Source organism: Homo sapiens, chromosome 3 (assembly GCF_000001405.40).
Source record: "Homo sapiens chromosome 3, GRCh38.p14 Primary Assembly".
Taxonomy (NCBI): Eukaryota; Metazoa; Chordata; class Mammalia; order Primates; family Hominidae; genus Homo; species Homo sapiens.
The window spans coordinates 196473697-196493482 of NC_000003.12; the positions used below are offsets into that span (position 1 = coordinate 196473697).

At 42.0% G+C, this 19786-nt stretch overlaps 1 protein-coding gene across 1 annotated transcript in view; it reads right to left on the minus strand.

Annotated features, from left to right (window-relative positions):
• Positions 1-19786, minus strand: part of RNF168 (ring finger protein 168) — a 34986-nt gene that overhangs the window by 4914 nt on the left and 10286 nt on the right. Inside the window, exons 2-5 of the mRNA NM_152617.4 lie at positions 14911-14987; positions 13703-13882; positions 10074-10195; positions 1535-1616 (exon numbers count right to left, since the gene is read on the minus strand). Of these exons, the coding sequence (NP_689830.2) occupies positions 1535-1616; positions 10074-10195; positions 13703-13882; positions 14911-14987 (461 nt within the window). The remainder of the gene's footprint in view (positions 1-1534; positions 1617-10073; positions 10196-13702; positions 13883-14910; positions 14988-19786) is intronic.

A 19786-nucleotide genomic window follows, 5' to 3' on the forward strand; every position in this document is an offset into this window, starting at 1 on the left:
ATACAAAAATTAGCCGGGCGTGGGGGTATAAGCCTGTAGTCCCAGCTACCAGGGAAGCTGAGGATGCACCGAGCATCCACTGTACTCCAGCCTGGACGATGGATTCTCTCTCAAAAAATAAACAAAACAAAACAAACAAGCAAAAAAAAAATACCTAGTGTTTGGAAGATAAAGCTTGGGACTTCTATAAGTTACTTCTATAAGTAACTTGACTGGGTGTATTTCTCACCAAGACCCCTGGAAGCTAGACCCATTGTTTGTTATAAGAAATAATTGACCCTTACAGGGCATGTGGTCTCAAAGTAGTTAATACACTCACTTGTGTGGCCTTTTTCCAGGCTATCACCTTGGAGCTCTGCTGCTGAGGACTCCTGCTGAACACACATGCCTGATGCTGCCTTACTAGCATACTTTTTCTCATCTTGCAATTTTTTTTTTTTTTTTTTTTTGAGGTGGAGTCTCACTCTGTCATCCAGGCTGGAGTGCAATGGCGACATCTCAGCTCACTGCAACCTCCGCCTTCCGGGTTCAAGCAATACTCCTGCCTCAGCCTCCTGAGTAGCAGGGACTACAGGTATGTGCCACACCTGGCTAATTTTTTTTTTTTTTTTGGTATTTTTAGTAGAGATGGGGTTTCACCACATTGGCCAGGCTGGTCTCGAACTCCCAACTTTCTGCCTGCCTCAGCCTCTCAAAGTGCTAGGATTACAGGCCTGAGCCACCGTGCTTGGCCTCCCATCTTGTAATATTCTTTTTTTTTTTTTTTTTGAAACAGAGTTTCACTCTTGTTGTCCAGGCTGGAGGGCAACGGCACGATCTCAGCTCACCGCAACCTCTACCTCCCGGGTTCAAGCAATTCTCCTGCCTCAGCCTCCCAAGTAGCTGGGATTACAGGCATGCGCCACCACACCCGGCTAATTTTGTATTTTTTTGTAGAGATGGGGTTTCTCCATGTTGGTCAGGCTGATCTCGAACCCCTGACCTCAGATAATCCACCTGCCTCAGTCTCCCAAAGTGCTGGGATTACAGGCGTGAGCCACCGCATTCAGCTCCATCTTGTAACATTCTAAGTGAAGCTGGTGCCAGGTATAACCTATTCAGTTTTGTGAGTTTGGATTACATAGGTCAAGGATCAGTAATCTATGGCTCATGGACCAAATCCAGCCTCCTGCCTGTTTTTGTAAACAAAGTTTTACTGGAATGCATTCAAGCTGATGTGTTTACATATTATCTATAGATGCTTTCACACTACACCAGCGTAGCTGAGAAGCTGTGACACAGATCACACTAACTGCAAAGGCGAAAATATTCACTCTCTTAGAGAAAAACTTTGCTTTTTGTAGTATGTTTATTTAAAAAATTGTAGTTTCCTTTGGAGAAAAAGTGCTTTTTCTCTAGGTGAGCCTAAGAGGACTCAGACAGGGTGTTTGATTAACTATAGGGGCTTTTGTTAAAAGGTAGAAAACTATGGATAGCACTAATCTACAGCATTAATGAACCAGCAAAACTCAGAACATCTTCAGTATCAACATACCTTAGATACGGAGTCTTTCCTGACTTCTTGTACAGCTTCAGAGTGTGAGGCTGACCCAAACTGAGATTTCGGTGTCAAATACCTAAAAGAAAAGTTTACCAAAGTTTCAATGCTTTCAAAGACAGATGGTATGTACCCAACATAATAAAGCTATTTATACCGAAGGTTGTCTGGTTTGCTGCTTGGCTGTTTTATCAGAGTGTATCTCATTTCCGTGCTTCAGATATTTTGGTCAATTCCAGGACAAAACTTAAATGATTGAGTATTGATATTTTAGTGAAAAACAGAAAAGGAAGTAAAAGTCAAATCTAAATATTTTTTCTTTTTTTTTTTTTTTTGAGATAGAGTCTCGCTCTGTCACCCAGGCTGGAGTGCAGTGGTGTGATCTCCGCTCACTGCAAGCTCCGCCTCCCGAGTTCACGCCATTCTCCTGCCTCAGCCTCCCAAGTAGCTGGGACTACAGGCGCCCACCACCACGCCCGGCTAATATTTTGTATTTTTAGTAGAGACGAGGTTTCACCGTGTTAGCCAGGATGGTCTCGATCTCCTGACCTCGTGATCCGCCTGCCTTGGCCTCCCAAAGTGCTGGGATTACAGGCGTGAGCCACTGAGCCCGGCTAAATATTTTTTTTTCTTTTCTTTTTTTTGAGACGGAGTCTCCCTCTGTCGCCCAGGCTGGAGTGCAGTGGCGCGATCTCAGCTCACTGCAACCTCCGCCTCCCGGGTTTAAGCGATTTTTCTGCCTTAGCCTCCTGAGTAGCTGGGATTACAGGCGCCCGCCACCACGCCCGGCTAATTTTTGTATTTTTAGTAGAGACGGGTTTCACCATGTTGGTCAGGCTGGTCTCGAACTCCTGACGCTCAGGTGATCCGCCTGTCTCAGCCTCCCAAAGTGCTGGGATTACAGCCGTGAGCCACTGCGCCCAGCGTAAATATTTCTTAATTCTTGAAAAAAGCTTAAAAAAGCAGATAGCATCAAAACAATGCAAGACTCTATAGTCTTCCCAAAAGTAATGAAAATGATGCTTTAAACTAGGAGAAAGGATATGTTAGTTTCTTCTTTATGCTGGAAATGTTGGCTGTTCACGACATTTTAAATCTCTACTATTGGGAAAAAGTCCATGATTAAATTCCTTACTATTCTGGTATAGAGATGTTATCATACATACTTTTATATCAACTCTCTTCTTTTTTTTTTTTTTCTGAGACGGAGTCTTGCTCTGTCACCCAGGCTGGAGTGCATTGGTGCAATCTCGGCTCACTGCAACCCCGCCTCCCAGGTTCAAGTGATTCTCCTGCCTCAGCCTCCTGAGTAGTTGGGATTACAGGCATGTGCCACCACGTCCAGCTAATTTTTGTATTTTTAGTAGAGACGGGGTTTCACCATGTTGGCCAGGCTGGTCTCGAAGTCCTGACCTCAGGTGATCCGCCTGCTTCGGCCTCCCAAAGTGCTGGGATAACATGCGTGAGCCACCGTGCCTGGCCCTCAACTCTCTTCTTAGAAACACATATCTTTACATTTCTTTCTTTTTTTTTGAGACAGAGTCTCACTCTGTCGCCAGGCTGGAGTGCCGTGACATGATCTTGGCTCACTGCAACCTCCGCCTCCCGGGTTCAAGTGATTCTCCTGCCTCAGCCTCCTGAGTAGCTGGGACTACAGGCACACGCCACCATGCCCTGCTAATTTTTGTATTTTTAATAGAGACAGGGTTTCACCACGTTGGCCTGGATGGTCTCAATCTCTTGACCTCAGGTGATCCGCCTGCCTCGGCCTCCCTAAGTGTTGGGATTACAGGCGTGAGCCACTGCACCTGGTCATATCTTTACATTTCTAAGAATCTTCAATATAACAGGCTGTTTGCCACTGAAAACACTACGGTTTTAATAGAATGGAAAATGTTATAAAAGAACGGGGAATAGAAAAGGCAGGCTACAAGATGGTAGGTATAGTTTAAAAATTGTAAAATATCCAAACATGCATATAACTATGTTTACAAATGGCAGAAATTTCCCAAAATGTTGGTTGTCTCCAAATGGTGGAAACTTTGGGTGATTTTCAAAGAGCAGCTAGCCATGGCTTTTAGAATTAGAGAAAAAAAGTGACTATAAATAACAGACAAATCCATAAGTTACACTGTGTCAAAAGCACCAACAAGTAGCATATGGAACAATCAAACCTAAACAAAGATCTCATATAAAGAACTAATGAATATTCCTTATGGGCAAACAAGAGTACCTAACCCATATATTTAGTTATATCAATCTATATATTTACTCTGTTAACTTTGAAGAACAAGAACCAAATTTTCAGTTGAAAAGAAGCTTAGTCTCATTTAGTTTCTTTAGGCTGAAGAATTCTTTCTGTCAATGCTGATGCGGGACCACTACTTACGAAGCATACCAGTACCAAAGTATCACTGTTATAACAGTTGTTTTGACGTTCATAAGCAGAGAACAGAATGTTATTACTTATCCAACACAATCACTGAAGATTCATTAACTCTCTTGGATATTCCTTATTTATAATAACCAAGTAATATATGAATACATGCTCATTCTGAAAATAAGCAGAACTGGCCGTGGTGGTTCATGCCTGTAATTCTAACACTTTGGGAGGCTGAGGTGGGAGGATCGTTTGAGGCCAGGAGTCCGAAAACTGGACAACACAGCAAGACCCATCTCTACAAAAAATTAAAAAGAAAAATTAGCTGGACATAATGGTGTGTGCCTATAGTCCCAGCTACTCTGAAGGCTGAGGTGGGAGGATCGCTTGAGCCCAAGAGTTTGAGGCTGCAGTGAGCTATTTTCTTGCCACTGTGGCCTGGGTAACAGTGAGACCCTGTCTCTTAAACAAAACAGAAATACAGGAAATATATGTCATCAACCCTTTCCCTTCCCATGTTTTAAGAACTTTTTTTTTTCTTTTTTCCTTGAGTCTGAATTTTTGGGATCCATTCCCATTTGCTTCCTTTTATGTTTTAAATTAAGTTTAGCCTAAAGCTGCCTCCTTACGTATTTTAAGTTCAGCCCAAAGATTTCTCTGTATATAGTGAACTACAGCCTAAAGGGAGGTGTGAACAGCCTGTAAACTACTCTTGTGCCAGTCACCAAGCTTTGGCCAAAGGGGGCCAACTGTTCAAATCATGTTCAAATAAGGCAAATGCCAAACTGTAACCACTCTGGCTGTCTCTGCCCCTCATTTCTGCTTTCCATACATCACGTTCCCTTTTCTGTCTGTTAATCTTCTTCCGACATGTGGCTCCACGGGAGTCGCTCTCGGCCTACTCTGGCTCGAGAGGCTGCCCAATTTGTGAATTGTCCTTTGCTCAATTAAACTCTGTTAATTTGTCTAAGGTTCTCCTTTTAACATATGTAACCAATTTTTTAAAAATATGATTTCTATGAAATACACACTCTTTTTGATTTTGTTTATTTTAGTTATTTTATTTTTTGGGGGACAGAGTCTCACTCTATCGCCCAGACTGAAGTACAATGGCACAATCTCTGCTCACTGCAACCTCTGCCTCCCGGGTTTAAGCAACTCTCCTGCCTCAGCCTCCCAAGTAGCTGGGATTACAGGCATGCACCACCATGCCCAGCGAATTTTTGTATTTTTGGTAGAGACAGGCTGATCTCGAATGCCTGACCTCAGAAGTATTGTATTTTTGGTAGAGACAGGACAGCCAGGCTGGTCTTGAACTCCTGACCTCAGGTGATCCACCCACCTCGGCTTCCCAAAGTGTTAGGATTACAGGTGTGAGCCACCGCACCTGGCCATTATTTTATTTATTTTTTTTTGAGACGGCGTCTCACTCTATTGCCCAGGTTGGAGTGCAGTGGTGCAGTCTCAGCTCACTGCAACCTCCACCTCCTGAGTTTTAAGCAATTCTCTCTGCCTCAGCCTCCCGAGTAGCTGGGATTACAGGTGCTCGCCACCACACCCGGCTAATTTTTGTATTTTTAGTAGAGATGGGGTTTCGCCATGTTGGCCAGGCTGGTCTTGAACTCCTGACCTCAGGTGATCCACCCGCCTCGGCCTCCCAAAGTGCTGGGATTACAGGTGTGAGCCACCGTGCCTGGCTTCATTATTTTTTAAGGCAGGGTCTTGCTGTCACCAAGGCTGAAGTGCAGTAGCACCATCATAGCTCACGGCAGCCTTGACCTCCCAGGTTCACGTGATCCTGCCACCTCAGCCTCCCAAACATCTGAGACCACAGGCACACCACGCCCGGCTAATTTTTGTTATTTTTTGTAGAGACAGGGTTTCCGCATGTTGCCCAGGCTGGTCTCAAACTCCTAGGCTCAAGTGATCCACCTGCCTTGGCCTCCCAAAGTGCTGGGATTGCAGGTATGAGCCAACACACCCAGCCTCACGCTTTTTTTTTTGAGACGGACTATCGCCCAGGCTGGAGTGCAGTGGTGTGACCTCGGCTCACTGCAACCTCCGCCTCCCAGGTTCAAGCAATTCTCCTGGCTCAGCCTCCCCAGTAGCGGGATTACAGGCGTCCGCCACCACGCCTGGCTAATTTTTTTGTATTTTTAGTAGAAACGGGGTTTCACCATGTTGGCCAGGCTGGTTTTGAACTCCTGACCTCAAGTGATCTGCCTGCCTCACCCTCCCAAAGTGCTAGGATTACACGCATAAGCTACTGCGCCCGGCTTGTGATTTGCTTTTTTCACTAATGTCTTAAGATCTTTCCAAGTCTGCCTCATGAAAACAAAGTTTATGAGAGAACAGTCATACAATACATGTAAGAATCACAGTACAGCACGGTCACGGGGAGGGGGACACTGACTGGAAAGGGAAAGGGCACAAGCAAACCTTTGTAAATATTCCGTCTTCATCTGGTGGGTGGTTTATACACACACAAAAATTCACCAGAAAGTATACTTAGGATTGGTGCACCGTCTTTTTAAATTTTTTACTTTTTCTTTTTTACCCTGTCTTATGGTGCCGAAGACTGGTGCACTTTAAAATATATGTTTGCTGCTCTGTGGTCCATTAAAAACAAAACAAAAAAATGTGTTATTCTTCTAAAAAGTTTAAAAATCTGTATTACCATGAAAGCCCATATGCTTATTACTTGGTTGAAGGGAAAAGAAATCATTGGTTTGAAAGTCTCCTATGGGGCCTCGTCATCTCCCACCTCATACTATCCTGAGTTTCTTATATCTTACTTTTTAAAACAGATTTGCCACACTTTTGCATCTCTAAACACTTTATTGATTAGTATTGTGTGATTCTGAGCGAGACTCCGTCTCAAAAGAAAAATTTGAAAAGTTGGAATTCTGATTCGAATTGCACTGACTCTATAGATCAGTCTGAGGAGATCTGACCATTTTGTAGTATTAGGCATCTTCTAACCCATGAATATTGTATATTTAATATAATACAATTTTCTCCACGGGTCGTACAGATTTTTATTTTTCTGAGACATGGTCTTGTCTGTTGCCCAGGCTGGAGTGCAGTGGTAAAATCACAGCTCACTGCAGCCGTAACCTCCCAGGCTCAAGTGATCCTCCTGCCTCAGCCACCTGAGCAGCTGGGACTACAGGTGTGCATCATCATGCCTGGTTAATTTTTTAATTTTTTTTTAAGAGATAGGGTCTCCCTGTGCAGCTCGGGCTCGTCTTGAACTCCTGGGCTCAAGCAATCCTCTCGCCTCAGTCTCCCGAAGTGCTGGGATTATAGGCATGAGCCACCATGCTTGCCTCAGATTTTAACACATTTATTTTTAAGTACTTTTATTTTCTGATACTACTATCGACAGAGTATTTTTAAAGTTACATTTTACAATTGACTTTTTGTACAGATTTTATATCTGGCAACCTTGCTAAACTCTTCATTCTAAAAATGTACCTCTGACTTTTTGGGTTTTCTACATAGATAATTATACCGCCTCTGAAGAATGATAGCTGCTTTTTCCTTCCTTTCCAGGCTGATATGTTTTATCTCCTTTTATTGTGTTACTGTGCAGACTAAACTCTCCAGCATGAGTCTGAATGCAGGTGGAGAGTAGCAGGCCACCCTTGCGTATTCCTGACCTTACAAGGGGAATGGCGGGGCGTGGCGGCTCACTCCTGTAATCCAGGCACCTTGGGAGGCCCAGGCGGGAGGATCACTTGTACCCAGGAGTTTGAGGTTGCAGTGGGCCATGATCGCACCACTGCGCTCTAGCCTGGGTGACAGGGCAAGAAAGACTGTCTGGAAAAAAAAAAAAAGGAAATAATTTCGATGTTCCACTATGAAGTATGATATGTGATGTAAGATTTTGGTAGATATCCTTCAACAGGTTAAGAAAGTTTCTTTCTGTTACCACTTCATTAAGAATTATCATCTCGTGTATTTCATATTTATACAGCTAATTGAATAACTTACAGTGATTCATTTTCTACCATTAAACCAGCAATGTATTCCTGGAATTGTCTTTTTAAATACGTTTTCAGCTGCGTTTTTTTTTTTTTTTTTTTTTTTTTTTGAGATATGATCATAGCTCACTGCAGCTTCGACCTCTTGGGCTCAAGCAATTCTCCCACCTCAGCCTCCCAAGTGGCTGGGGTTACAGGCATGTGCCACTGCATTTGGCTAATTTTTTTATTTTGTGTAGAGACAGGGTCTTACTATGTTGCCCAGGCTGGTCTTGAACTCCTCCTGGCCTCAAGCAATCCTACCACCTCAGACCTCAGCCTCCCAAAGTGCTGGGATTATAGGCATGAGCCACTGTCCCTGGCTTTTTTTTTTTTTTTTTTTTAGAGACAGGATCTTGCTATGCTGTCCAAGCTGGTCCCAAACTCAAACTCCCTGGGCTTAAGCAATCCTCCTGCCTCAGCCTCCCATGTAGCTGGGATTACAGGTACGTGCCACAACACCTGGCTGCCCTTTCTTCTTTTCTGATACGGCACGTAAAGCCTTCTAAATACCACTTTAGCCACATACCAGTTTTCATGCATATTTTCAGTTCTGTATTTCCAACAAAATTTACTCTTTAATCAACAAGTTGTTTAGAAATTTTTCTTAATTTTAAAACTATATAATCCTGTTATTCATTTTTAAACTTTTGAATTGAGGTGTAATTCACATAAAATGGAATGCCACATTTTGTTTACCCATTCATTTGTTAATGGACATTTGGGTTGTTTCTACCTTTCGGTTATTTGAATAATGTTGACACAAATATTCATGTACAAGTATTTGTTTGAATACCTGCTTTCAATTCTTTTGGGTACATACCTAGGAGTGGAATTGCTGGGTCATATGCTAATTCCGTTTAACTTTTCAAGGAATCACCAACTGTTTTCTGCAGCCACGATACCACTTTACATTCCTACCAAGCAATGCGCAAGGATTCCAATTTCTCCACATCTTTGTCAACACTTATTATTTTCCCTTTTTGTGGATTATAGCCATCCTAATGGGTATGAAATGCTATATCACTGTGGTTTTGATATGCATTTCCCTAATAACTAATGATGTTAAACATATTTTCGTGTACTTATTGGCCACTTGTACATCATGGGAAAAATGTCTACTCAAGTCCCTTTGTCCAGTTTTTAATTATTTGTCTTCTGTTGTTGAGTTATAAGAGTTTTCATATATTCTAGAAAACAGACTTTATCTGTTTTTAATATTGTTACAACTTTAATCCATCAGTTTCTCAATTTTTGCTTTTAAATCCTTAGTTTTTCTTGTATCTCTGGTAATTTTTTATTTTTATGTATTTCAAAGTATATATTTAGATATATAAAGATTCATGAGTTATAGCCTTAAACAGCATATTGTATCAATATGAAATACTTCTGCATTTTAGCGGTTTTCTCATTTTTACTTTGCACATTATGAGTACTGGCGACACTGATATTGTCACATCTTTTTTTTTTTTTAATAGTACCTCCCTCATTTAACATTCTCTTCTCCTAAGCTTCCTCCCACCTCAAATACAAAATTTCAACAAATCTTGGAAGGAGATGAGTTACCTGCACATATTTCCTCAGTTGAACCAGAAGTCCTTATGTATTTTTCAAGTCTAGACTGTGGTTTTTAAACTTTTCCAACTGTGAGTTACCATGGGAAAGCTGATGTTTGCGTAAAGCCACCAACTCCACCTGGCACCTGACCCTGGAGGGGTGTTGTGGTGAAACTCAATCACGCCACCTTTGTCTACCTGACTCATGCATTTTGTGTAATAGAGAAGAAATGACAAATTGTAAACTCTTTCAGTGAAGATAAGCCTATCTGGGACCCATTTTTTTCATCTGAATTTAAACCAAGAGAAAGAGGAATCCAATGGTTCACTTTGAGAAAACTGGAAATCCTGAGGCAGTAAGATAAAAGTATGAATCTGCCACAGTAAGTGGCTGAGTGAGAAGCCAAGAGGAAGCTGTGTGAGTAGCTCTCTCCTTTTCAATTTACCTCAACCTCAGACTATTTTCATACAAAGTTCACGGACCAAACTTTGAGAATCAGTAGTAGTCTATATGAACAGAAAACACTGGCATACAGTAGGAGGTCAACAAATAATTCATAGTCATGTTCACTTACTTCTGAATATCTCCAGTGTTTCTTTGTTTGTTCTTACTTTTCTTTTCAGACTTGGGTGTAACTGGATCAGATTTTCTGGAATTCAAGGGAGAAGCCGAGATACTTCCCTCACAGAAATTGTTCTTCAACAATAGAAAAAGCATAACAGACATTATGAGAGAGAACTTTATGATAAAATAAGCTATTAATTTGACTAATTCAGAAATCCATAGCATTTTTCAGAAATTATAGTTATATTTAAATTCTGTACATCTCTTGAAGAATATTGACCATGCAAAAATCAGAATAAACTATGTTCATCCAAGTTGGTCTAAATTAATTACATTTTTACTGTACATCAAGCACAAAATAAGGCATAATACTAACCTCATTAGCTGATAATTCCTGTTGATCTTTCTTTCCTTTTTTTTTTTTTTTTTGAGACGCAGTCTCGCTCTGTTGCCCAGGCTGGAGTGCAGTGGCGCGATCTCGGCTCACTGCAAGCTCCACCCCCGCAGGTTCATGCCATTCTCCTGCCTCAGCCTCCTGAGTAGCTGGGACTACCGGCGCCCTCCACCATGCCCGGCTAATTTTTTGTATTTTTTTTAGTAGAGATGGGGTTTCACTGTGTTAGCCAGGATGGTCTCGATTTCCTGACCTCATGATCTGCCTGCCTCGGCCTCCCAAAGTGCTGGGATTACAGGCATGAGGCACCGCGCCCGGCCTTTTTTTTTTTTTTTTTTTTTTTTTTAAGACAGGGTCTCACTCTGTCGCCGAGGCTGGAGTGCAGTGTAGCAATCATGGCTCCTTGCAACCTTGACCTCCCAGGTTCAAGTGATCCTCCCACCTTCACCTCCCAAGTAGCTAGGACTACAGGCATGAGCCACCAGGCTTGGTTAGGTGGGTTGTTTTTGTTTTATTTTGAGACAGAGTCTTGCTCTGTCATCCAGGCTGGACTGCAGTGGAGTGATCATAGCTCACTGTAGCCTCAACCTCCTGGGCTCAGGCAATCCTCCCATCTTAGCTTCTCGAGTAGCTAGGACACAGGCATGTGCCACCATGCCCAGCTACTTTTTTTTAAATGCTTTGTAAAGATGAGGTCTCACTATGTTGCCCAGGCTGGTCTCCAACTATTGGAATCAAGTGATTCCCCCACCACAGCCTTCCAAAGTGTTCGGATTATAGGTCTGTGCCACTGTGCCCAGCCTGTTGATTTTTCTAATAAATACTTTTATATAATTACTTTTATCTATATGGACATATTCAGAGAGCTGTGGATATACCCAAAAGAATAGTTTTATGTAATAATATTTTAGTTCTGGACTTTAAGGGCGTATTAATAAAAATCACAAATATTTACTTGCTGTACCAGTCTCGTAAGTTTCTTACTACCCTAATGGAAAAGTTCATATATGGTGATGGTGAATATTTGGCCTTAAACCACCAAACTTTCATAAATAAATAGAAAATTATTCTAGGTTGGGCATGGTGGTTCATGCCTGTAATCCCAGCACTTTGGGAGGCTGAGGTGGGTGGATCACATGAGGCCAGGAGTTCAAGACCAGCCTGGCCAACATGGTGAAACCCCATCGGCACTAAAAATACAAAAATTAACAGGATGTGGTGGCGGCACCTGTAATCCCAGATACTCTGGAGGCTGAGGCAGGAGCATCGCTTGAACCGGGAGTTGAGGTTGCACTACTGCACTCCAGCCTGGGTGACAGAGTGAGACTCTTGTCTCAAAAAAAAAAAAAGTTAAAAAAATTATTCTACAGTATCAATAAATCTACTCTTATAATACCATGGGAAAACTAGATATACTTCTTCCCTATTCCATTTATTATTCCATTGGTCAATGACTTTTATTTAGTTTCCTGATTGTGTATTTCTAAAGCGATTCTACTTAAAAAAGACACATAAAAAGGGGCATATAACCCAAAATTTGGGTACATTATTATTAATGGTAGGCCTCTCAAAAAAGAAAAAAATTCCCAATTCTGCGTATACTCATTTTGCTAAGTGTATATACATATATATTTTTTTATTCTATTGAACTTCCCATGATTCAATGGTAAGTGTATGTTAAGATATTCGTTGTTTGAAAGCTGAAGAATTGTTTTCACAGGCTCTCAAACCTGAATGTTTCACACTTCCCTACATGCCTCTGAAGATTGTATTCCCTAGGTCCCATCCCTAGAGACTCTGACTTAATAGATTTGGAGTAAATATGAGAGTTTGTATTTCAACAGCATTCCCAGGTTACTCTGCCAGGCTCGTTCAAACCACTGGGCCCCACAGTACCCTCTGATCTTAAAGTATGTGTTTTATCACACACCATTTAATTCATTTTCTTACAGGCAGCAATTTAACTACAGGAAGCAGAACATCCAAGTTTAATACATTATCTAAAAATTTAATGTGCCTTACTTTCAAAATGTGATTTACATCCATAAAATGGAATATTATTCCACTCTTTAAAAGAATTAGATTGACTACATGTAGTAATATGAAAAATCTCTACGATGTTATCAAGTGGAAAAAATGTAAGCAGCAAAACAGTGTGATTGCTTTATATAATCCTTTTTAGGTCAATAAAGAAAAAAAGCTTTTTTTTTTGAGATGGTCTTCCAGGTTGAAGTGCAGTGGCGAGATCAGCTCACTGTAACCTCAAACTCCTGGGCTCAAGGGATCCTCCTGCCTCAGCCCCTCCCAGCAGGTGGAGCTCCAGGCACGCACCATCACACTCGGCTCATTATTAATTTTTCTGAAGAAACAGGGTCTCACTTTGTTGCCCAGGCTGGTCTCAAACTCCTGGGCTCAAGCGATCCTCTCGCCTCAGCTTCCCAATGTACTGGGATTACAGGCCCGAGCCATCGCACCCTGGCAAGAAAAAAGTTGTAAGAAACTGTTAATAGTGGTTACCTTTGGGGATAGAGACTGATATAAATGGAAAAGGAACGGGAGTGGAGAGGTGGAAGAAGGAAAAAGGAAGCTTTCATTCTTCACTGAATAGCTTTCCTACATATAAAAAAGTTGTTAAACAACTTGCGGTGGCTCACGCCACAAACCCAGCACTTTGAGACGCCGAGGCAGATGGACGGCTTGAGCCCAGGAGCTCGACACCAGTTCAGGAAACATGGCAAAGCCCTGTCTCCACAAAAAAGTAGCCAGGCATGGTAGTGCCAGCCTGTAGTCCCAGCTACTCGGGAGGTTGGAAGGATCACCGGAGCCCGGCCGTCGAGGCTGCAGTGAGTCGTGATTGTGCCACTGCACTCCAACCTGCATGACAGAGTAAGACCTGTCTCAAAAAACAAAAAACCCCAAAAACCTGGATTAGAGCAAATATGTAACAATATGCAAAACAATTTTACTTTAAGTAAAGCAAAAATGTTATCAATAGCTTCTAATTATGGCAACGCCATCTCTTCTGTTCTTTGAAAACCACAGTCAAAGCAATCGGAATGTTAATAGTTAGCTTTCCGTATCAGCAGGTTCCAAACACTCAAATCCAACCAGCCTGGGGTGGAAAAGACAATATTTGTGGGATGCAGAACCTGGAAATACAAGGAGCTGACTCTTCCCATGAGCGGGTTCTGCAGCAGCGCATACCAAGGGATGACCATACCTTAGCGTTCCCTCCTAAAACTTACAATATCAATGCTTAGCTTTCTTGCCAGTTCCTCATCACTTTTCAGTTGTTCTTCCATCGCTCTTCGCCTTTTTTCTGCCTGTCTTTTTTCCTCTTCTTCCTCCTCTGCCAACAACCTCTGTATGTATTCTTCACTGGCTTTGTTTTCTTCTTCCTCGCTGGCCCGTCGCTCTGCCGCCACCTTAAAAGTGATTAATAAAGAGCAATCCTTCTCTGAACGTTTTGGTATACTTGCAATATTTCATAACAAGAATAGAAAAGTAGAAAAAGAACAAATTGGCAGAAATTTAAATGATCTCAAATGAAGTACAAATCTGGAGAAGTAGATTCCTGCAAGATAGCTGTCCCATCTCAGCCTCCCAAAGCACTGAAATTATAGGTGTGAGCCTCCACACCTAGCCTGAGATGTATTACAAGTGAAAATTATACACAAAATTTTGAAGACTAACAAAAAAAGAGAAAAATCTCTATTTATGTATAACTTCATATGTAATTAAAACATAATGCTTCACTATAAACACTGCTTTTTAGGTACTTTTCCTATTTAGGAACTTCACAGCTAGCCCTTTAACCTTTCCTCATCTAAACTCACACTCTACCACCCTTTTACTTTAAGCTCAAAACTTTGGGGAAATAAAAATATATCCTGGTATGGATTAAATTAGGAAAAAGAAGAATTAAAAAATTTTCTTCATATGTAAATGCTTAGGGAACACTATCACATAAGAGCATTAATTATGTAGAAGTAAATTACAGCAAAAAACAAAGCCCTTATAAAGTACATTAAAATTATCCATATTTTGGCCAGGCACAGTGGCTCACACCTATAATCCCAGCACTTTGGGAGGCCGAGGCGGGCGGATCACAAGGTCAGGAGATCGAGACCATCCTGGTGAACACTGTGAAACCCCATCTCTACTAAAAATACAAAAAAATTAGCCAGGCGTAGTGGCGGGCGCCTGTAGTCCCAGCTACTCGGGAGGCTGAGGCAGGAGAATGGCATGAACCCGGGAGGTGGAGGTTGCAGTGAGCCGAGATTGCGCCACTGCACTCCAGCCTGGGTGACAGAGTGAGACTCCATCTCAAAAAAAAAAAATTATCCATATTTCAAGATATACTAGTTATATAAGCACAAAAAACTAAATTAAAATCTGAAACTAAAAACACAGCAGAGAAATATTCCAAAAAAAAAAACTATTTAGCACCTACCTTGCTTATTTCCTCTTCATATTCTCTTCTCAGTTCCCCAGGTTTACTGAGCAGACGAACTGGCTGATAGTCATCAGCTATTTCATATCAAAAAAGAAAATAACATTATAGGCAACACAATTTTATGGTAACTTTGGTCTTCCATTAAAACGAAAAATTAAAATATACAACTATTAATAACTGCAGCAATATCTCCTTTTGGAATTCCATTTTTAACATTTATTTTATTTATTTATTTTAGATTTATTTTATTTATTTTTTTTGAGACAGAGCCTTGCTCTGCTGCCCAGGCTGGAGTGCAGTGGCACAGTCTCGGCTCACTGCAACCTCCACCTCCCAGGTTCAAGCGATTCTCCTGCCTCAGCCTTCTCCTGAGCAGCTGGGATTACAGGCATGCGCCACCACACCCAGCTAATTTTTTATATTTTTGGTAGAGTCAGGGTTTCACCACATTGGCCAGGCTGGTCTCGAGCTCCTGACCTCAAGTGATCCACCCGCCTTGGCCTCCCAAAGTGCTGCGATTACAGGTGTGAGCCACCACGCCCGGCCTGGAATTCCATTTTGTGAGGCCAGAGGTTTAGGGTTTTGGGTTTGAAATGGCATATGAATGCATATACTTAACCCTTCCTCTAAACTCCATTAAAATAACAGTAAAGGAATTTTTAAAAACTGTAATCCTACAACAGCAGAAATTAGCAGAGGAGGTTAACTGATTAAAAAAAAATGTTTTTTTTTTTTGAGACAGAGTCTTGCTCTGTCACCCAGGCTGGAGTGCAGTGGTGCAATCTCAGCTCACTGCAACCTCCGCCTCCCGGGTTCAAACAATTATTGTGCCTCAGTGTCCTGAGTAGCTGGGATCACAGGCATGCCCAACCATGCCCAGCTAATTTTTGTATTTTTAATACAGACCGGTTTTTGCCATGTTGGCCAGGCTGGTTTCGAACTCCTAATGTCGGGCAATCTGCTCACCTCAGCCTCCCAAAGTGCTGGGACTACAGGCGTGAGCCACCGTGCCCGGCTCCAGTTAAAAAATTTTTAACAAATTTCTAGAAAATGGGAAGGCAATGAAATAGAGATAATTGATACAGCAGAAATGAAGGAAAAGAAATCCTTGAAAGGGAAGACTACAGCTGAGGTAGAATTAGAAGGGAATCTGCCTCCTATTTGCCTAGAGAGAGGCTCATAGAGTCCAGAGTGAGTAACCGTGGGACTGAAAACAGAACTCGAGATTTATAAGCTGTTAAATCAGAATCCTCGACTTACCGGCATTTCTCCCTGGATATGGGTGCAGGTGCACACACGCATATTTCTTTAAAGAAACAGATCTAGAGAGAGCCAGAGCAGCTAATGTAATAGGTGGTGACCCAGAGCAAAGTCCTCTGCGATCGGGCAGTTAGGGATGGCAAAGCACAAAGGCCAGGTTTCCATCGGCTTGAACTCAACGTCTGCCCATCACCAATACCCTTCCACATACACAGAGCTTTTCTCCTGGGCCTCATTCTCAAACCTAAAAGCTAATCCAAGGATCGTCAGACATTTGAAATACATCTGCAGGACTAGGGAAACAGTAAGCTATACAAAGAGAAAAAATCATCACCCTGGAGTTGAAAGATAATTCTGGGTCAGAAAATAACCTAAATGTGGGTATGTATCCTCAACAAATCTGATGAGAATTTTATTCTATAAAACAAGACACTGTTTTATAAAGTGTAAAAAGGGAACATCCAAAAAAGAGAACGCATCTGTCTGTTTCAAGGGGCAGCTGCTACTCAACTCCAGCTGACTACGACTACCAGGAAACTCAGGCCTGTCCGTGCCATATTTTTTGCTTTCTCAAGAAAATCCAGAGGCGGCAGGGGTGGATGGTGAGAGATGACTTCATGGGTACAATGTACATTATTTGGGTAGCAGATACCCTAAAGAGCCCTGACTTCGCCACTGTGCAATCTATACATGTAACAAAATTACCCTTGCACCCCATAAATTTATCCAAGTAAAAAGAAAAAAAAAAAGAAAATCCAGCAATCAAGATGTTAATATGAAATCTTCCAACTTAAATAGTGGCATTGGATGGGTCACAAAAAACATGCACACAGGATTCCTATGGCCTGCAGGCCAGCAGTTTGAAAAATCTGCAACAGAGAGACTAAAAAACAGTGATGTAACTCCAAAACAATTAGGGATGCAGTATGCTGAATTCTCATTTATTTTAGTCACTAAGGAGGATCTATTCAAGACAATACAATGGTATACACAGGAGAGACATATATAAGGCTCCTTAAAAAGTAGAAGGATAATCAGCTGGCTTAAACTGAGACCTAGATCAGCAAGTCTTAAAGTAGAATCTACGAAACCCTGGAGGTATCTGAGACTTTTTTTCAGGGAAACTGCAGAGTCAAACTATTTTCATTTAAAAAATTAAAGTAAGCTGGGAGCGGTGGCTCACGCCTGTAATCCCAGCACTTTGGGAGGCTGAGGCAGGCGGATCATGAGGTCAGGAGTTCGAGACCAGCCTGGCCAATATGGTGAAACCCCGTCTATACTAAGAATACAAAAATTAGCCAGGCGTGGTGGCACGCACCTGTAGTCTCAGCTACTCGGGAGGCTGAGGCAGTAGAATAGCTTGAACCCGGGAGGCGGAGGCTGCAGTGAGCCGACATTGCACCACTACACTCCAGCCTGGACGACAGAGGGAGATTCCGTCTCAAAACAAACAAACAAAGAAACAAACAAAAAACCCAAATAAAACAACTGACAGTAGGCCGGGCACAGTGGCTCATGCCTGTAATCACAGCATTTTGGGAGGCCGAGGCAGGTGGATCACTTGAGGTCAAGAGTTTGAGACCAGCCTGACCAACACGGTGAAACCCGTCTCTACCAAAAAATACAAAAAGCCGGGAGTGGTGGCAGGCACCTGTAATTCCAACTACTCGAGAGGCTGACACAGAAGAATTGCTTGAACCCGGGAGGCGGAGCTTGCAGTGAGCCGAGATCACGCCACTGCACTCCAGCCTGGGCGACAGAGGGAGGCTCCGTCTCACAAACAAACAAAAACACATGTTCAACATTACTAGTCATTAGGGAAGTGCAAATCCTGAGTACGGAGATACCGCTTCAGAGGACAGCCAACACTTGGTTTTTTTTTTATAATAGTCATCCATTAAGATATATACACACACATAATGGAGTATGCGGCCAAAAAAGGAAATGGAATGGACACGTGCTAGAACACGATGGACCTTCAAGACACTACGCTGCGTGAAACAGCCAGTCACCAAAGGACAGACACTGTGTGGGGTTCCACTCGTACGAGACACCTAGAGCAATTAAACCCGTAGAGGCAGAAAGAATGGAGGTCGCCAGCAGCCAGGGGAGGGGTGAATGGGGAATTAATTATTGTTTAATGGGCAGTTTCAAGCGTGGAAGATGAGAAAGTTCAGAGATGAATGGTGGTGACGGCTGCACAAAAACATGAATGTACTTCATGTCACGCAACTGTCCATTTAAAAATGGTTAACATGGCGGATTTTATGTTATGTATCTTTTACAATAAAACTGGAAAAAAAGTAAATCACTTTACACATTAGATACAATAAAATAGTAGCTAAGAGGCTGGGCACAGTGGCTCATGCCTGTAATCCCAGCACTTTGGAAGGCTGAGGCAGGAGGACCACTTGAGCTCAGGCTATCAAGACCAGCCTGGGCAACATAGCAAGACCCCATCTTTGTTCAAAAAAATTTTTTTTAAGTAGCTAATTTAGGAAAACAATAATAAGACAGATGTATTATACTAGAAAGCAAAACATATCATTAAGCAGAATTAAACTAAGCATGTGTGGTACTGACACAGCTACTGATAAAGAGATAGTTAAAAAATAAAAAGCCCAGGCAAGGTGCCATGGCTCATGCCTGTAATCCCGGCACTTTGGGAGGTGGAGGCAGGCGGATCACTTGAGGTCAGGAGTTCAAAACCAGCCTGGCCAACAAGGCAAATAACCCTATGTCTACTAAAAATACAAAAATTAGCCACGTGTGGTGGTGCACGCCTGTAATCCCAGCTACTCAAGAGGCTGAGACAGGAGAATCGCTTGAACCCGAGAGGCAGAGGTTGCAGTGAGCCAAGATCGCACCATTGCACTCCAGCCTGGGTGACAGAGAGAGACTCCATCTCAAATAAATAAATAAATAAATAAATAAAATAAATAAATAGCCCCAAATTGCTCTGGAAAATAAGCATATGATTAGTGAAATAGTACGTATATCAATGTGGCTGTATTACTACCAAGTAGTGTGGCTATTAAGTGGCAATCAAGGGCAGGGGGAGTTAAGATGCCTACCTCATACAATACTCGAATTCAAGGTGGATTAAAAAATGGAAAAAAACAAAACTATAAACGACTAAGAAGAACATATGAGATAAATTCCAAAACAATTAAAACTTCCATGTGATGAAAGACATCACAAAGTTAAAAACAAACTAGAAGTTATTTGCAAATACATAAATCACCAGAGAATTAGTGTCCAGAATATAACTAGAACTTCCACAGATCAATTAAAAACCACAACAGGCAAAGGAAAGGCACGTGCGATTTACAGAAGATGCCCAACTACAGCAAGCAGAGAGCTGAACTTTTGTTAAACCGTGGAATGACAGATTTTTAAAGTTTACTTATTTCTACATAAACTGAATCTAAATTAAGATCAGTGAGTTATTCAACTGCAGACACAAGTTAAAATTGTCTTCATTTGCCTTTTTCTTTTGTTTTTGGAAACAAGATCTCACTCTTGCCCAGGCTGGAGTTCAGTGGCGGGATCATAGCTCACTGCAGCCTCCAACCCCTTGGCTGAAGCGATTCTCCTGCCCTAGCCTCCTGAA